Below are 17,177 nucleotides of genomic sequence, written 5' to 3'. Positions count from 1 at the left end.
AGGGCCCTGAAACGGAGGTGGTTGGGGAATGACTTCTGGATTGGCTGGTGTGCATCTGAAAGCTGTGCTCACAGGAGAGTCACTTACTATCTTTAGGATGTGGCTAGCCCTGGGAGGGACCATCCCTCCAGGGTCAGCAAGGCCCCAAGATGTCAGAGCATCAAAAACAGAAACTAGAAAATGCATGGTGCATAGATACCATGGAATACTATGCAGTCATAAAAAAGAAAGAAATTATGTTCTTTGCAGCAACATGGATGCAGCTGGAGGCCTTTATCCTAGGCAAATTAACACAGAACAGAAAACCAAAAATTGCATGTTCTCACTTATAAGTGGGAGCTAAATCTCGGGTGCACGTGGACATAAAGATGGAAACAACAGACACTGCGGACTCTGACAGTGAGACGGAGGGAGGAGGGGAATAGTTGAAGAACTCTCTGTTGGGTACTATGTTCATTATATAGGTAACAGGATCAATAGAAGCCCAAACCTCAGCATCATGCAATACACCTGTGTAACAAACCTGCACGTGGACCCCTGTATCTAAAATTTTAAAATAAGAAAACATGGTTATTATAGTCTCTCCCACATGCCATAGGCTGTCATTAGATAGTTGGTGGTCCTTGATTAGCCTGTTCATTTTTTTGGGCGGGGGGTGGGGAATGGAGTCTCGCTCTGTTGCCCAAGCTGGAGTGCAGTGGTGCAATCTTGGCTCACTGCAACCTCTGCCTTCCCGGTTCAAGTGATTCTCCTGCCTCAGCCTCCCCAGTAGCTGGGACAACAGGTGGGCACCACCACAGTCGGCTAATTTTTGTATCTTTAGTAGAGATGGGCTTCACTGGATTGGCCAGGCTGGTCTTGAACTCCTGGCCTCAGGTGATCCACCCGTCTTGGCCTCCCAAAGTCCTGGGGATTACAGGTGTGAGCCTCCACGCCCGGCCTAACCTGTTCATTTTTAAGGAGAAAGCAAGAAAGATTTGATTAGGAACTCCAAGTGTATGGGTGGGTTTATTGACTGGTAAGAAGCCAGCTGAAAGGCTGAGCTCTGTGAACCTGCTGTTATAAGTGGAATTATGTCCCTGCAAAAAGACACGTTGAAGTCCTTACCCCCAGTATCTTAGAATGTGACCTTGGAAATAGGGTCTTTACAAAAGTAATCAAGTTAGAATGAGGTCATTGGGGGTGAGCCCTAATCCAGTATGACTGGTGTCCTTATATAAAGGGGATATTTGGTCCAAGCACGGTTGCTCACGCCTGTAATCGCAGCACTTTGGGAGGCCAAGGAGGGCGGATCACCTGAGGTCAGGAGTTCGAGACCAGCCTGGCCAACATGGTGAAACCCTGTTTCTACTAAAAATACAAAAATTAGCCAGGCATAGTGGCGCACACCTGTAATCCCAACTACTCGGGAGACTGAGGCAGGAGATTCACTTGAACTCAGGAGGCAGAGGTTGCAGTGAGCCAAGATTGTGCCACTGCACTCTAGCCTGGGCAACAGAGTGAGACTGTGTCTCAGACCAAAAAAAAAAAAAAAAAAAAGAAAGAAAGGTGGGGGATGAGGGGAGGGAGGGAAATTGGGAAAATTTGGATGCAGAGACAGACATGCACAGGGGAAGATGAACATGATTGGAATGATGTATCTATAAGCCAAGGAGTGCCAGAGATTACCAGCAAACCACAAGTAGCTAGGAAGAGATGGGGAAGGAGCCTCTTCCTACAGGTTTCAGAGGGAGTATGGCCCCGCTGACACCTTGATACCACACTTCCAGCCTCCAGAACTGTGAGACAATATTTTTTTTTTAAAAAAGATGGGGTCTCACTCTGTTGCCAAGGCTGAACTCTAAACTCCTGGGCTCAAGTGATCCTCCTGCCTTGGCCTCCCTAGGAGTTGGGACTACAGGTGCGCACCATCATGTCCAGCTCTCTAAACATTTTGCAGAGATGGGGTCTTGCCGTGTTGCCCAGGCTGCTCTCAAACTCCTGGCCTCAAACCTTCCTCCCACTTTGGCCTCCCGAATCCCTCCCAAATCCCTGCTGGGATTACAGGCACAAGCCAGCATGCCCAGCCTGATATTTTCAGAAAGGAAAATTATTATCATCAGCTACTGCAGTACTTCTTTCTGCATGGCCAGCAATTTTCTTTTGTTCTAAGCCACTCAGTTTGTGGTAGTTTTATATGGCATCCCTAACAAACTAATTACACATTTCTTTCTTTCTTTCACCCTCCCTTCTTCCTTAGCAGGACAGGCCCCAGAATTGGGGCTAAGCCTGGGAGGGTTTCTTGGCTTTGCCCAGGAGAGAATTCCAGGACAAGCTGGTGGTGTCGGATAGCAACTTCTCTTGAAGCACTCATGCACAGCAGCAGCAGCAGAGGGGCCGTTCCTTGCGGAGCAGGACCACCCCACAGGCAGTGTGCCTGGAGGAGCAGCTCAGAAGCAGTGCTGCAGCCACATTTAGACTCACTTTTAATTATATGTAAATCAAGGGGCAGATTATGCAGAAATTTCTAGAAAAGGGGTGGTAACTTCCAGGTTGTTGGGTCATTGCCATGGAAAGGGGCAGTAATTTTTGGGTGTTGCCATGGAAGTGGTAAACTGACATGACGCACTGGTGGACGTGTCTTATGGAAAGGAGCTTCCAGCACATCCCTGTTTTAGCTAGTCTTCAATCTGGTCTGGTGTCCAAGCCCCGACTCTGGAGTCTGTTCTGCCTCCTACCTCATTTTCTCACTCTGAGACCTAGGCTGACAGAGCAGCTGTCATCTCAATGCTACCAAGTACCAGGGAAGAGATAACCTAGTGAACTGCACACTGTCCCTTTAAATTTTTTTTTTTTTAATTGGAGACGGAATCTTGTCTGTCACCCAGGCTGGAGTGCAGTGGTGTGATCTTGTGTCCGGAATTGGTGGGTTCTTGGTCTCACTGACTTCAAGAATGAAGCCGCGGACCCTCGCGGTGAGTGTTACAGCTCTTAAGGTGGCGCGTCTGGAGTCTGTCTCTTCTGATGTTCAGATGTGTTCGGAGTTTCTTCCTTCTGGTGGGTTTGTGGTCTCGCTGGCTCAGGAGTGAAGCTGCAGACCTTTGCGGTATGTGTTACAGCTCTTAAGGCAGTGAGTCTGGAGTTGTTCATTCCTCCCCGTGGGCTCGTGGTCTCGCCAGGCTCAGGAGTGAAGCTGCAGATCTTCGCGGTGAGTGTTACAGCTCATAAAAGCAGCGTGAACCCAAAGAGTGAGCAGTAGCAAAATTTATTGCAAAGAGCAAAAGAACAAAGCTTCCACACTGTGGAAGGGGACTCCAGCGGGTTGCCAATGCTGGCTCGGGCAGCCTGCTTTTATTCTCTTATCTGGCCCCACCCACATCCTGCTGATTGGTAGAGCTGACTGGCCTGTTTTGTCAGGGCGCTGATTGGTGCGTTTACAATCCCTGAGCTAGATACAAAGGTTCTCCACGTCCCCATCAGATTAGTTAGATACAGAGTTTCAACACACAGGTTCTCCAAGGCCCCACCAGAGCAGCTAGATACAGAGTGTCGATTGGTGCATTCACAAACCTTGAGCTAAACACAGGGTGCTGATTGGTGTGTTTACAAACCTTGAGCTAGATACAGAGTGCCGATTGGTGTATTTACAATCCTTGAGCTAAACACAGGGTGCTGATTGGTGTGTTTACAAACCTTGAGCTAGATACAGAGTGCCGATTGGTGTATTTACAATCCTTGAGCTAAACACAGGGTGCTGATTGGTGTGTTTACAAACCTTGAGCTAGATACAGAGTGCCGATTGGTGTATTTACAATCCCTGAGCTAGACATAAAAGTTCTCCACGTCCTCACCAGAGCAGCCAGATACAGAGTGTCGATTGGTGCACTCACAAACCTTGAGCTAAACACAGGGTGCTGATTGGTGTATTTACAATCCCTGAGCTAGATATAAAGACTCTCCACGTCCCCACCAGACTCAGGAGCCCAGCTGGCTTCACCCAGTGGATCCCTCACCGGGGCTGCAGGTGGAGCTGCCTGCCAGTCCTGCGCTGTGCGCTCACATTCCTCAGCCCTTGGGTGGTCGATGGGACTGGGCGCCCTGGAGCAGTGGGTGGTGCTCGTCCGGGAGACTCGGGCTCACAGGAGCCCATGGAGGGGGTGGGAGGCTCAGACATGGCAGGCTGCAGGTCCCGAGCCCTGCCCCGTGGGAAGGCAGCTAAGACTGCAGGTCCCGAGCACCGCGCCGGTGGGCCGGCACTGCTGGGGGACCCAGTACACCCTCCGCAGCCACTGGCCCGGGTGCTAAGTCCCTCATTGCCCGGGGCCGGCAGGGCTGGCCGGCTGCTCCGAGTGCGGGGCCCGCCAAGCCCACGCCCACCCAGAACTCCAGCTGGCCCGCAAGCGCTGCGCGCAGCCCCGGTTCCTGCTCGCGCCTCTCCCTCCACACCTCCCTGCAAACTGAGGGAGCTGGCTCTGGCCTTGGCCAGCCCAGAAAGGGGCTCTCACAGTGCAGCGGCGGGCCGAAGGGCCCCTCAAGTGCCGCCAAAGTGGGAACCCAGGCAGAGGAGGCTCCGAGAGCAAGCGAGGGCTCTGAGGACTGCCAGCATGCTGTCACCTCTCAATCTCAGCTCACTGCATCCTCTGCCTCCTGGGTTCAAGCGATTCTCCTGCCTCAGCCTCCTGAGTAGCTGGGATTACAGGCACGTGTCACTGCACCCAGCTAATTTTTGTATTTTTAGTAGAGATGGGGTTTCACCATGTTGGCCAGGCTGGTCTCGAACTCCTGACCTCAAGTCATCCACCCGCCTTGGCCTCCCAAAGTGCTAGGATTACAGCCATGAGCCACCGCACCCGACCTGTCCCTTTAAGTTTCCAGCCAGAGATGATACCCATCATTTTTCTTTATATTGTGTTGGCCAAAGTGAATCATGTGACTATGCCTAACATCAAAGCGGGTGGGGAAGTGCAGTCCTACCTTGTGACTGGGAAATGAATGAGGGAGGGAGGGAAGGAGGGAGGAAACAAGGAAGGAGGAAGGAAGGAAGGTTGGTAGGTAGGAAGGGAGGGAAGGAGGGAGGCAGGGATGGAGGGAAAAGGAAGGAAGGGAGGGAGGGACGAAAGGAGAAGAAAGGAAGGGAGGAAGGGAAAGAAGGAAGGAAGGAAGGAAGGAAGAGCAGTGGCTTGCACTTGTAGTCCCAGCTACTCGAGAGGCTGAGGCGGGAGGATTGCTTTAAGCCAGGAGTTCCAGACCAGCCTGGGCAACATAACGAGACCCCATCTCTGCAAAAATTTAAACAGGAAGGGAGGGAGGGAGGGAAGGAGAAGCTGCTCTGGGCAGGCTGCATTGCTTCCGTGATGCATTCCTCTGTGCACACAGGTGATCTGGCCAGTGCATCTTACAGTTTCTTTGCGTTTTTCTGTTATTTCCATTTCTTGCTTCTTGGTGCAGCAGCAGCATAATTACTCTGAGAAGCCCACAGGGTCAGAGCCTGCAGAACCAGTCGGTCCGTCTGCAACGCTCAGCCCCATCTTTCTCTTCCCACTTCAGGCCACCTCCTCTGCGCTGATCTCCAAGGAACCCCAAATGCCCGGAGTCCTGGTGTCTCCTGCAAGCAGCAGAGGGAGCCCACACTCTATCAAAAGCGACTGAGTTTCTCATTATACTACAAAGCAGAAACTACAATAACTGTTGTTTTCTTTTTTCTTTCTTTCTTTTTTCTTTTTTTTTTTTTTGCCATGCAGTATGTCCTTACAGATGAAGCTTTAATCTCCCTCGTCCATCTCTGTTGCTGTAAATTTATGCTCCATTATGGTTCCATATGCCCGATCCTCTGAGAAAGCCACGGCGGGCTTGTGGGGAGCGTGCGCTTCAGAGCTGTATGTGCAGCATGTGGAATTGCAGATTGGTACCTGGCACACTTAATGGTTATGTCTTCACAGGTTGTTTTAGAGCCATTTATTAGCCGTGATCCTGCATGGATCAGTCGTGATATCATGGAAACGGTGCCGTGGAACTCACTGAAATGCAAGGAGCAGAAGCAGAGTGTGGTCCATTAAAAAATAAATCTGGCCGGGTGCAGTGGCTCATGCTTATAATCCCAGCTCTTTGGGAGGCCGAGGGGGGCGGATCACCTGAGATCAGGAGTTCGAGACCAGCCTGGCCAACATGGTGAAACCCCATCTCTACTAAAAAAAATACAAAAATAGCAGAGTGTGGTGGTGGGTGCCTGTAGTCCCAGCTACTCGGGAGGCTGAGGCAGGAGGATCACTTGAAACTGGAAGGGGGGAGGTTGCAGTGAGCCAAGATCGCGCGCCACTGTACACTCCAGCCTGGGTGACAGAGCAAGACTCTGTCTCAAAAAAAAAAAAAAAAAAAAGAAAAGAAAAAGAAAAAGAAAGCTTCTCATTGAAAACTAGTTATAGTCTTTTACTTGAGAAGGAGCTCCGTCCAAGCTTTTGTGGCCACTTGCTGGGATAACAGCTTTCTTCACCATGAGATGGCCATACAGGAGGGTGAGGAGATGGCTATATTATCTCGTCAGGACTTCCTTGTCATGGCTAGAAAGCCACAGACTGGCTGTGCATGGTGGCTCGCACCTGTAATCCCAGCACTTAGGGGGCTGAAGCAGGAGGATTGCTTGAGGCCAAGAGTTCAAGACCAGCCTGGGCAACATAGAGAGACCCTTGTCTGCACAAAAAAATAAAAAAAAATTAGGCATGGTGGTATGTGCCTGTAGTCCCAGCTATTCAAGGAGGCTGAGGCAGGAGGATCCCTTGAGCCCAAGAGGTTGAGGCTGCAGTGGCTATGATCATGCCTCTGCTCTCCAGCCTGAGCAACAGAGTGAGACTCTGTCACAATAATAAATAAGCTGGGCAGTGGCTTGCATCTGTAGTCCCAGCTACTTGGGAGGCTGAAATGACAGGATTGCTTGAAGCCAAGAGTTCGAGACCAGCCTAGGCAACATAATGAGACCCACCCCCCCCGTCTCTGCAAAAAAATTAAAAAATAAGCCAGGAATTGTGGTGTGCCCAGGAGTTCAAGGCTGCAGTGAGCTATGATTGTGCCACTGCACACCAGCCTGGGAGACAGAGTGACATCCTGTCTCAGAAAAAAAAAAAAAAGAAAAGAAAAGAAAGGAAAAGACATGAAAGTTTGCTGGCTAACAGGAAGCGGGCTATTTTAAGAGCCTCCTGGGCTCCTTTAGTTTTGGAGCACCCATTACATAAAACGTTAAATATACAGAAATGCACCCCATTCCACATCCAATATAATGCATATATATAAATAATAAATGATAACACAAGGGCTTCAATTTGAGTTTCATCAAGTGTATTCATCTTGACTTTGCATTTTTTTTCTCTACAGTTTGGCACCAATAAATTTTTTTTCATTCCTGGCTGTTTATGACCCCATGGGCCTTGGGATAACTCTCAGTTCTGGGTCTTAATTCTGGGGAACTTGATGCCGACAGGGGTCCTGTATGATTGGGGGCCAAGATGAAATTTCATCGTAGCCTCCACCTGCCTCATCCAAAGAGAACCAACCTCAAAGGAGATGAGGAAGACCTTCCTCTCCTCAAATAAAATTAGGAGGACTTTCACCTGTCCTTAAAAACATCCTGGCCGGGCGCGGTGGCTCATGCCTGTAATCCCAGCACTTTGGGAGGCTGAGGCGGGCGGATCATGAGGTCAGGAGATCGAGACCATCCTGGCTAATATGGTGAAACCCTGTTTCTACTAAAAATACAAAAAATTAGCCGGGCATGGTGGCGGGCGCCTGTAGTCTCAGATACTCGGGGGGCTGAGGCAGGAGAATGGCGTGAACCCAGGAGGCAGAGGTTGCAGTGAGCTGAGATCGTGCCACTGCACTCTAGCGTGGGTGACAGACCGAGACTCCATCTCAAAAAAACCAAACCAAACCAAACCAAAACAAACAAACAAAAAAACAAAAAACATCCTGAGAAGGCGATTCTTTGGTCTCATCTAGTAACATTACTCACTCACTCATTCATTCAAGAGATATTTTTACTTTTTAGAGATGGGGTCTTGCTGTGTTACCCAGGCTTGTCTTGAACTTCTGGCCTCAAGTGATCCTTCCACCTCAGCCTCTTAAAGTGCTGGGATTACAGGTGTGAGCCACTGTGACCTATTTTAACTTTTGTAGAGATGGGGGTCTCGCTTTGTTGCCCAGGCTGGTCTCGAACTCCTGGCCTCAAGCGATCCTCCCACCTCGACCTCCCAAAGTGTTGGGATTATAGGTACGGACCATGGCGCCTGCCCTCGGTCCTCATTTTCTTTGACACCTGGGCAGTACCCAGGTCCTCTTAACAGTCTCAGGCTGGCCCTGGCTCATGCCTTTTGCTACCTCCAAGTGTCTGTGCAGACCATCCACTCTGCTGGGAAGGTCTCCTGCTATTCACCAGACTAACTGCTATTCATCCCACTCCACATATCCCACAAGGGATATGCCAATATCTGGCAGTGCGTTGGGAAATGCGTAACAAAGTTTCTTGGAACAAACAAAACAAAACAAAAGAAACCCTGATTTGTCACATTTGCTGCTTTCTGTGGTGTAAATTCTTCCACCATGGCCAATTTCAGGTTGCCGACGTGAGGTCACTGAACAGGGAGCTGAGTTGGGCACAGTAGCACGTCATTATATTGTATTCCCACCATAGGGGCAGAACAGATGTAAGTAACATCAGAGCAAATGTGGGAGTAGAACACAGTAAAATAGGAATGATGCTTTAGGTATTTAGTACCTTCATATTTTAACACAATACTTAATTATAAGCTCTCTCTTTTTTTTTTTTTTAATAATGACTACGTTTAAAAACCAGCTTATGGGCCAGGTGCTATGGCTCATGCCTGTAATCCCAGCACTTTGGGAGGCTGAGGCGGGTGGATTGCTTGAGCTCAGGAGCTCAAGACCAGCCTGAGCAACATAGCAAAACCCCATCTCTACCAAAATACAAAACATTAGCTAGGCATGGTGGCATGCACCTGTAGTCCCAGCTACTCAGGAGGCTGAGGTAGGAGAATAACTAGAGCCCAGAAGGTGGAGGTTGCAGTGAGCTGAGGTTGCGCCACTGCACTCCAGTGTGGGTGACAGAGTGAGACCTTGTCTCAAAAATTAAAACAAAACAAAACAAAACAAAACAAAATACAGCTTGCACATTTTCTGAAATTTTAACAATTGATTCTTGCAATCCAGTAGGAATTGGATCCAGCACACAGTGAGGGTAAAAATCCTCTGGGTAGAATAGGATGGTATATGGATACAGCAAAAGTGGTATATGTGGTGAGCAAATGACCCTCGCCTGGGAGGCCATGTGGGCTGGGGATACACACACTAACCATCTGGAATCCTCCCATGGGAATGAGTAAGCAAACCGCGCCAGAGCCATGAGACAGTTCCCATGTATTCCAAAGCTGCACTCTGATTCTTAGACAACCCTAAGCCTTGTCTCCATGCCCTTACTGTTCATTTTCCTGAGTGGTTCTAGGTGGGCTCTCTGGGTGCATGCAGATAGCCATGGGCTGGCCTGTGGGCTACGGCATTCTAAAGTGCCCTGGCTGTCTTTGGGAGCCCAAGTGACTTTCTGGGCTCAAGGAGCATGGAGCAGTTTGACCAGGACTGATTTTGGAAATAAAGAGCAGCAAAACTCTGTGTCAGAGGGTCTATACCTCCCCTGTGTGATGGCACTGAGCTAAGTACCCTCCTGGGCTCAATCGTCTTCCCTGCAGTTTACACAGATCTGTTTCTTCCTGGGGTTGTACTGAATTATTTTGATTCATGAGAAAGTTAACCCTTACTCCTTAAATAATAGTGTATTTGCTACAATGGACTACTATCACCCAAATTCTCAATTAATATAAGATTAATTAAATTATTATTATTATTATTATTTTAGAGACAGAGTCTTACTCTGTCACCCAGACTGGAGGGCAGTGGTGCGATCATAGCTCACTGTAACCTTGAATTCTTGGGCTCAGTCGATTCTCCCACCTCAGCCTCCCGAGTAGCTGGGACTGCAGGTGCATGCCACCATGGCTGGCTAATTTTAAAATTTTTTTGTGGAGACGAGCCCTCACTATGTTGCCCAGGCTGGTCTTGAACTCCTGGCCTCAAGCAATCCTTCCACCTCAGCCTCCCAAAGTGCTAGGATTACAGATGTGAGCCACCATGCCCAGCTCAATTAAATTATTCATTACAAACTTAAAGATTTTCTTTGTGATAGAATCATTTTAGAGTGAAAATCCAAAGGTCAACTGGTAATGAAGATATGTCAAGACATGTATTCGCTTGGTGCAAAATTAATTGCAGTTTTTGCCATCAAAAGTAATGACAAAGGCCGGGCACGGTGGCTCACGCCTGTAATTCCAGCACTTTGGGAGGCCGAGACGGGTGGATCACTTGAGGTCAGGAGTTCAAGACCAGCCTGGCCAACATGTCGAAACCCTGTCTGTACTAAAAATACAAAATTTAGCTAGAGGTGGTGACAGGTGTCTGTAATCCAGCTACTCAGGAGGCTGAGGAAGGAGAATCACTTGAACCTGGGAGGCAGAGGTTGCAGTGAGCCGAGATCGCACTGTTGCACTCCAGCCTGGGCGACAGAATGAGACTCTATCTCAAAAAAAAAAAAAAAAAAAAAAAAAAGTAATGACAAAGACTGCAATTGGTTTTGTACCAACTTAATACTTCCTCAGCTGGGCCAAGAAGAGGAATAGGTTGGAAACAATGAGCCGGGATTAATTACATCAATTAAAGAAACACAAAGCAATAAATGCCCATCTTTACAGAAAGGCGGGCGTTATAAACACGTAGTCACTACTCCATAAGTGCCTGCTGATTGGTAACTGGTGTTAACTGATAACTGATAAGCCACTTGGCTTAGGGTGCTAAAGGCAAGTCTAGTGGTAGGATTTTAATTCACAAAAATAAGTAAAACCAATTTGTCCTTAAGCATTTGTCTTGCTATGAAAGCGTGTATATATGATATATATCATATAGGTCAATATGATTATGACATATATATCATATACAGACGTGTACATATATAAAGAGAATGATGTGATTGTAACATATTATAACATATTGTAACATATCTGGATGAAAAAATAAAGGTTTTAATGTTTCCAAGTGCTCCCTGAATGCTGATCTTCATTAAGACACAATGTCCAGATATGTGACTTTCCCTCTATATTTGTGACTTTAACTTTCAGACTTGGCTTTTGTTCTCAGACAGTGGCAAAGACATGCCTCCAGAGTGAATGGGCTCATTCCTGTTCACCTCCTGCACAGAAGAGCTAAGGGCAGAAGGACATCTCTGTGGAAAATTCACCAAATACTTAGAGAGGCTTTTAAAAGCACAAATTCAGGCCAGGTGCGATGGCTCATGCCTGTGGTCCCAGCACTTTGGGAGGATGAGGTAGGAGGATCGCTTGAGCCCAGGAGTTCAAGACCAGCCTGGGCAACATAGTGGGACCACTGTCTCTACAGAAAAAACTAAGTAAATAAAAAATACAAAAATTAGCCAGGCATGGTGGTGCATGCCTGTAGTCAATCCCAGCTATTCGGAGGGGCTGAGGTGGGAAGATGGCTTGAGCTTGGGGAGGTCAAAGCTGCAGTGAGCAGTGGTTGCGCCACTACATTCCAGCCTGGGTGACAGTGCAAGACCCTGTCTCTACAAAATAAATAAAATACAAAAATTATCTGGGCATGGTGGTGCACACCTGTAATCTCAGCTACTTGGGAGGCTGAGGCAGGAGGATCCCTTGAGCGCTGGGAGGTCGAGGCTGCAGTGAGCCATGGTTGCGTCACTGCACTCTTGCCTAGGTGACACAGTGAGATCCTGTCTCCAAAAAAAAAAAAAAAGTGCAAATCACACATTTCCTTTACTGTCACCAATAATTACTGCAAAAGCTATTAATCTCAGCTGTTATTTTAACAGAGGAAAGCTCTCCTGGGTATCTGCAGAAGATGAGAGACAGAGGCATGCTGGTGCCAGGACTGAGGGCCCAGAGCTTCAGCCATGCGTCGGCTGTGGAGCTGGCGGGTTGTCGGGGAGGCGTCTGTGACTTTTGCCTTCTCTAGGCTTAAATGAAGTTCAAAATAAATACACAAACAAACAAAATACTGTAATCCCCCACCCTCCGCCTTTTTTTTTGAGTCAGAGTCCCGCTGGGTCGCCCAGGCTGGAGTGCAGTGGCACGATCTTGGTTCACTGCAACCTCTGCCTCCCAGGTTCAAGTGATTCTTCTGCCTCAGCCTCCTGAGTAGCTGGGATTACAGGCTCGTGAGACCGTGCCCGGCTAATTTTTGTACTTTTGGTAGACATGGGGTTTCAACATGGGGTTTCACCATGTTGTCCAGGCTGGTCTTGAAACTCTTAAACTCAAGCGATCTGCCCGCCTCAGCCTCCCAAAGTGCTGGGGTTACAGGCGTGAGCCACATGCCTGGACCCCAAATAATTTTTAAAGTACTGTGGAATTGGAGTCTTCATCATCTTATCCTTTGACCCTACTTTTATGTTTTTTTGGTTGTCGTTTTCTCGTGTTTGTTTTTTTGTTTTTGTTCTTGTTTTTTGAGACAGAGTCTTGCTTTGTCGCCCAGGCTGGAGTGCAGTGGTGTGATCTTGGCCACTGCAACCTCCGCCTCCCGAGTTCAAGAGATTCTCCTGCCTCAGCCTCCTGAGTAGCTGGGGTTACAAGCGCCTGCCCCCACGCCTGGCTAATTTTTGTGTTTTTAGTAGAGAGGCGGTTTCAGTATGTTGGTCAGGCCGATCTCGAACTGCTGACCTTGTGATCCACCCGCCTCGGCCTCCCAAAGTGCTAGGATTACAGGCGTGAGCCACCGCACCTGGCCAATTTTATGTTTTTTAAAAAAATCAAATTTACTGAGGTATAATTTACATATAATAAAATGCATACATTTTAAATGCATAGTTCAATGAATTTTAACAAATGTATATACCATGAAACCATCAGTCCAGTCAATATACAGATCATTTCCATCACCCAAAAGGTTGCCTTGTGCCCACTTAGTATGCTGGATGCTGGTAAATATTTATCAGGAGACTGGAAAAAATGTTGTATATTTAACATTTATTTATCTAATTATTTTTGGCTTTTACCTTTTTTTCTGGACCTGGGTAGAGAAGTATTATTTAATATATCAACATTTTATAAATTTTACTGATGCTAAAGAATGCATTAGGCCGGGCATAGTGGCTCACGCCTGTAATCCCAGCTACTTGGGAGGCTGAGGCAGGAGAATCGCTTGAACCCGGGAGGCGGAGGTTGCAGTGAGCAGAGACCACGCCATTGCACTCTAGCCTGAGCAACAAGAGTGAAACTCCGTCTCAAAAAAAAAAAAAAAAAAGAATCCATTATATAACTTATAAATAGTAATAAAATATATGGTATACGGTATTCTTTATTGTAAATTTCATATAGCCAGTTGGTTATAACAAAAGGTTTACGTTGATTTTTGTTGAAGTCCTATATCTACAGCCAACCAATGATTGCAATCAATTAGTATACTTCTGACATAAATGCTGATTGCTATTTCTATTTAAGGAGTAAGATGAAAGTGAAATAAGACATATGTCGGTACATCACTTGTTTGTCAATGACATAAGCAACTTCTTTGCTGAATCAGATAATAATTTTTGAATATCAGAAGACTATTTTCTCAGTTGTCTGTGCTATGCATAATGTAACAGCTATAAATACTGTTCACTTTTAAGTTTAATTGGCATTAACAGTTTTTCCCACCGCTTTCTTAGATCCAAGCAATTTTTTTTTTTTTTAGGTGGGGGGACGAAGTCTCGCTCTGTCACCCAGGCTGGAGTGCAGTGGCCCAATCTCAGCTCACTGCAACCTCCACCTCCCAGGTTCAAGCAATTCTCCTGCCTCAGCCTCCGGAAGCTGGGACTACAGGCGTGCGCCGCCATATCCAGCTAATATTTTATATTTTAGTAGAGACGGGTTTCACCATGTTGCCCGGCTGGTCTCAAACTCCTGAGCTCAGACAATCCGCCCGCCTCTGCCTCCCAAAATGCTATGATTACAGAGATCTATGCAATTAAAAAAATATTTTCAAGCCTGATTGTAGCGTTTATCAATTTCCAAAACTCCCACCAAGGCAGATTTTCAGCTACAACATGAAGTCACCTAATGTGGATCTAGGAAGAGATGGCACCATTTTATAGTGTTTCTACCGTACAGACACAATAGCTGCAAGTAACCTCAAAGTCAAAATATGGTGGATATGGGGAAAAGAAGATCTGAGTATTTCTTATGTTTATGTTTGTTTTTAATATATTTAGTTGTAAGTTTATCTAATTAAATTTCTGTATAGAGGCAGGGTCTTGCTCTTCTCCCAGGCTGGAGTGCAGTGGTGCAATCACAGCTCACTGCAGCCTCTGAACTCCTGGGCTCAAGCAATCCTCCCAACTCAGCTTCCTAAGTAGCTGGGACTACAGGTGTGCATCACCACACCCAGCTAATTTTTTCATTTTTTGTAGAGACGGGGTCTCACTATGTTGCCCAGGCTAGTTTTGAACTCCTGGCCTCAAATGATCCTCCTGCCTTGGCCTCCCAAACTACTGGGATTATAGGCATGAGCCACTGCATCTGGCCTACAGATTATCTTTGATTATAATTTTTTTTTTTTTTTTTGAGATGGAGTCTCGCTCTGTCTCCCAGGCTGGAGTGCAGTGGCGTGATCTCTGCTCAGTGCAAGCTCCACCTCTCGGGTTCACACCATTCTCCTGCCTCAGCCTCCCGAGTAGCTGGGACTACAGGTGCCTGCCACCACGCCTGGCTAATTTTTTGTATTTTTAGTAGAGACAGGGTTTCACCATATTAGCCAGGATGGTCTCCATCTCCTGACCTCGTGATCCACCCACCTCGGCCTCCCAAAGTGCTGGGATTACAGGCGTGAGCCACCGTGCCTGGCCTCTTTGATCCTAATTTAAATGGCATTAAAACAATTCGTTTTCCAGGACGGGCGTGGAAAACATCCCACCAGAAAAAGGGCCAAACCACCTGATCACAGCAACAATTTATCAATATCCTCCTGGGCAGCAAGCCATAATGTCCAGATCCCCCTTCTCCCTGGCCAGACTTGTAAATTACCCCAGACTGTAACTGGCAGTGGGCTCTGGCATTAAGCTGGTCCCCCACCTCCACAGATCTTGTTCTGGACATAAAACCTGCATTGTTGTAGAGCCACCTCTCTCTCTTTCTCCTCTTTCTTTAACCCTTGCCTTCTCTTCAAAACTTAACATCACGATTGACTTCACCTGAGTCTCACCCAACTCCTGGAGACCCACAGTCCTCCAGAGAGGACCTGTGACCAGAGGAAAGGGACCTGGATCCTGGGTGGGCCAAAACAGCAGATGTCCTCTACAATGTGTGTGCGTGCGTGTGTGTGTGTGTGTGCGCGCGCGCGTGTGTGATGTGTTAAAAATGTCATGATTGGCTGGGCATGATGGCTCACGCCTGTAATCCCAGCACTTTGGGAGGCTGAGACGGGCAGATCACGAGGTCAGGAGTTCAAGACCAGACCAGCCTGACCAAGATGGTGAAACCCTGTCTCTAACTAAAAATACAAAAATTAGCCAGGCCCGGTGGCAGGTGCCTGTAGTCCCAGCTACTCGGGAGGCTGAGGCAGAAGAATCGCTTGAACCCAGGAGGTGGAAGTGGCAATGACCCGAGATCGTGCCACTGCCCCCCAGCCTGGGCGACAGAGTGAAACTCCGTCTCAGAAAAAAAAAAGTCATGATTAATAATGAAAACAATTAAAGTTATTGTTTGTTAACTAATGCTGCATGACAAACCACCCTAAAACGTATGGCTTAATCTGTCAACAGTTTATGTCTGATAATATTTTGGGTTGGCTGCGTGGTTCCTCTGCTTACCTGGGGTCATTGATGCGTGGTATTTGGCTGCTGGGCCAGCTGGGCTGGAAAGTCCAAGGGCCTCACTCGTGTCCTGCAGTGCGTGCTGGCCCCGTGTTCTTCTTCACCTGGCCGCTCATCCTCAGTGGGTTAGACTGGCTTCCTTAAGTGGCAGTGCCAGGACAACATTCCCAGAGAACAAAAACAGACTGTTGACTGGGCATGGTGGCTCATGCCTGTAATCTCAGCACTTTGGGAGGCCGAGGTGGGTGGATCACCTAAGATCGGGAGTTCGAGACCAGCCTGGCCAATGTGGTGAAACCCTGTCTCTACTAAAAATACAAAAATGAGCCGGGAATGGTGGTGGGTGCCTGTAATCCCAGCTACTCGGGAGGCTGAGGCAGGAGAATCACTTGAACCTGAGAGGTGGAGGTTGCGGTGAGCCGAGATCGCGCCACTGCACTCCAGCCTGGGCGACAGAGTGAGACTCCATCTCAAAAAATGAAAGAAAACAAAACAAAACAGAGACTGTTAGGCTCAGGAATTCATGCACTGTCACTCCCACAGGTTCTGTTGGCCAGAGCAAGTCAGGGGATAGCCCAGGTTCGAGGGCTGAGTAAAAAATTCTACCTTTCAGGCCAGGCACCGTGACTCATGCCGAGATTGTACCACTGCACTCCAGCCTGGGCGACACAGCGAGACTCCATCTCAAAACAACAACAAAAAACTCTACCTTTCAATGGGTGGAGCTATACAATATTGTGGCTTTATTTTTCAGTCTAGACAGCTATTTTTTTTCTGACATTTGACATGTATCACTCTTGCTGTCATCTATTTATAGGTGGTGATTTTTGTTGATTTCTAGTTTGACCAAGAGAGTGATTTTCAGTTTACAAGGTATTCAATTTTGGGGGGCTTACTGGATCACTTTGCTATTTTGTTTCCGTGCTGGTAAGGGTATGTGCTTTCTATGTGGGGCAGGAGAGCCCCAAAGCTGGAGCTTATCGTGGGAAGGTTCGTGGCTGCCCTCAGGAAAGAATTCAAGAGTGAGTCAGGGGTGGAAGAAACAGCTTTACTGAGGCGGTAGTGTTAGTGCTTCATGACGGTTAGCAGAGCAGTGCTGCCTGCTAGGCAGTGCATGGAGGTGGCAGCTCAGGGGCAGTTTGGCAGTCATATTTACGCCTACTTTTAATTACATGCAAATTAAGGGGCAGGTCATTCAGAATTTTCTAGAAAAAGTGTGGCACTTCTGGGTTGTTGCCATAGAAAGGCATGGTAAATTCTGGGCGTT

The 17,177-nt window shown here is 47.6% G+C and overlaps 1 annotated feature.

Moving 5' to 3' along the window:
• Nucleotides 15,390-15,576: a silencer, noted in NCBI's record as "fragment chr19:33051335-33051521 (GRCh37/hg19 assembly coordinates)". NCBI's record gives its function as "represses an EF-1alpha promoter that drives an FKBP-Casp9 reporter gene in an ReSE screen in K562 erythroleukemia cells {active_cell/tissue: K562}" and the evidence as "EXISTENCE:reporter gene assay evidence [ECO:0000049][PMID:32094911]".

Source organism: Homo sapiens, chromosome 19 (genome assembly GCF_000001405.40).
Source record: "Homo sapiens chromosome 19, GRCh38.p14 Primary Assembly".
NCBI lineage: Eukaryota > Metazoa > Chordata > Mammalia > Primates > Hominidae > Homo > Homo sapiens.
This window is presented reverse-complemented; position numbering and strand designations above follow the sequence as displayed.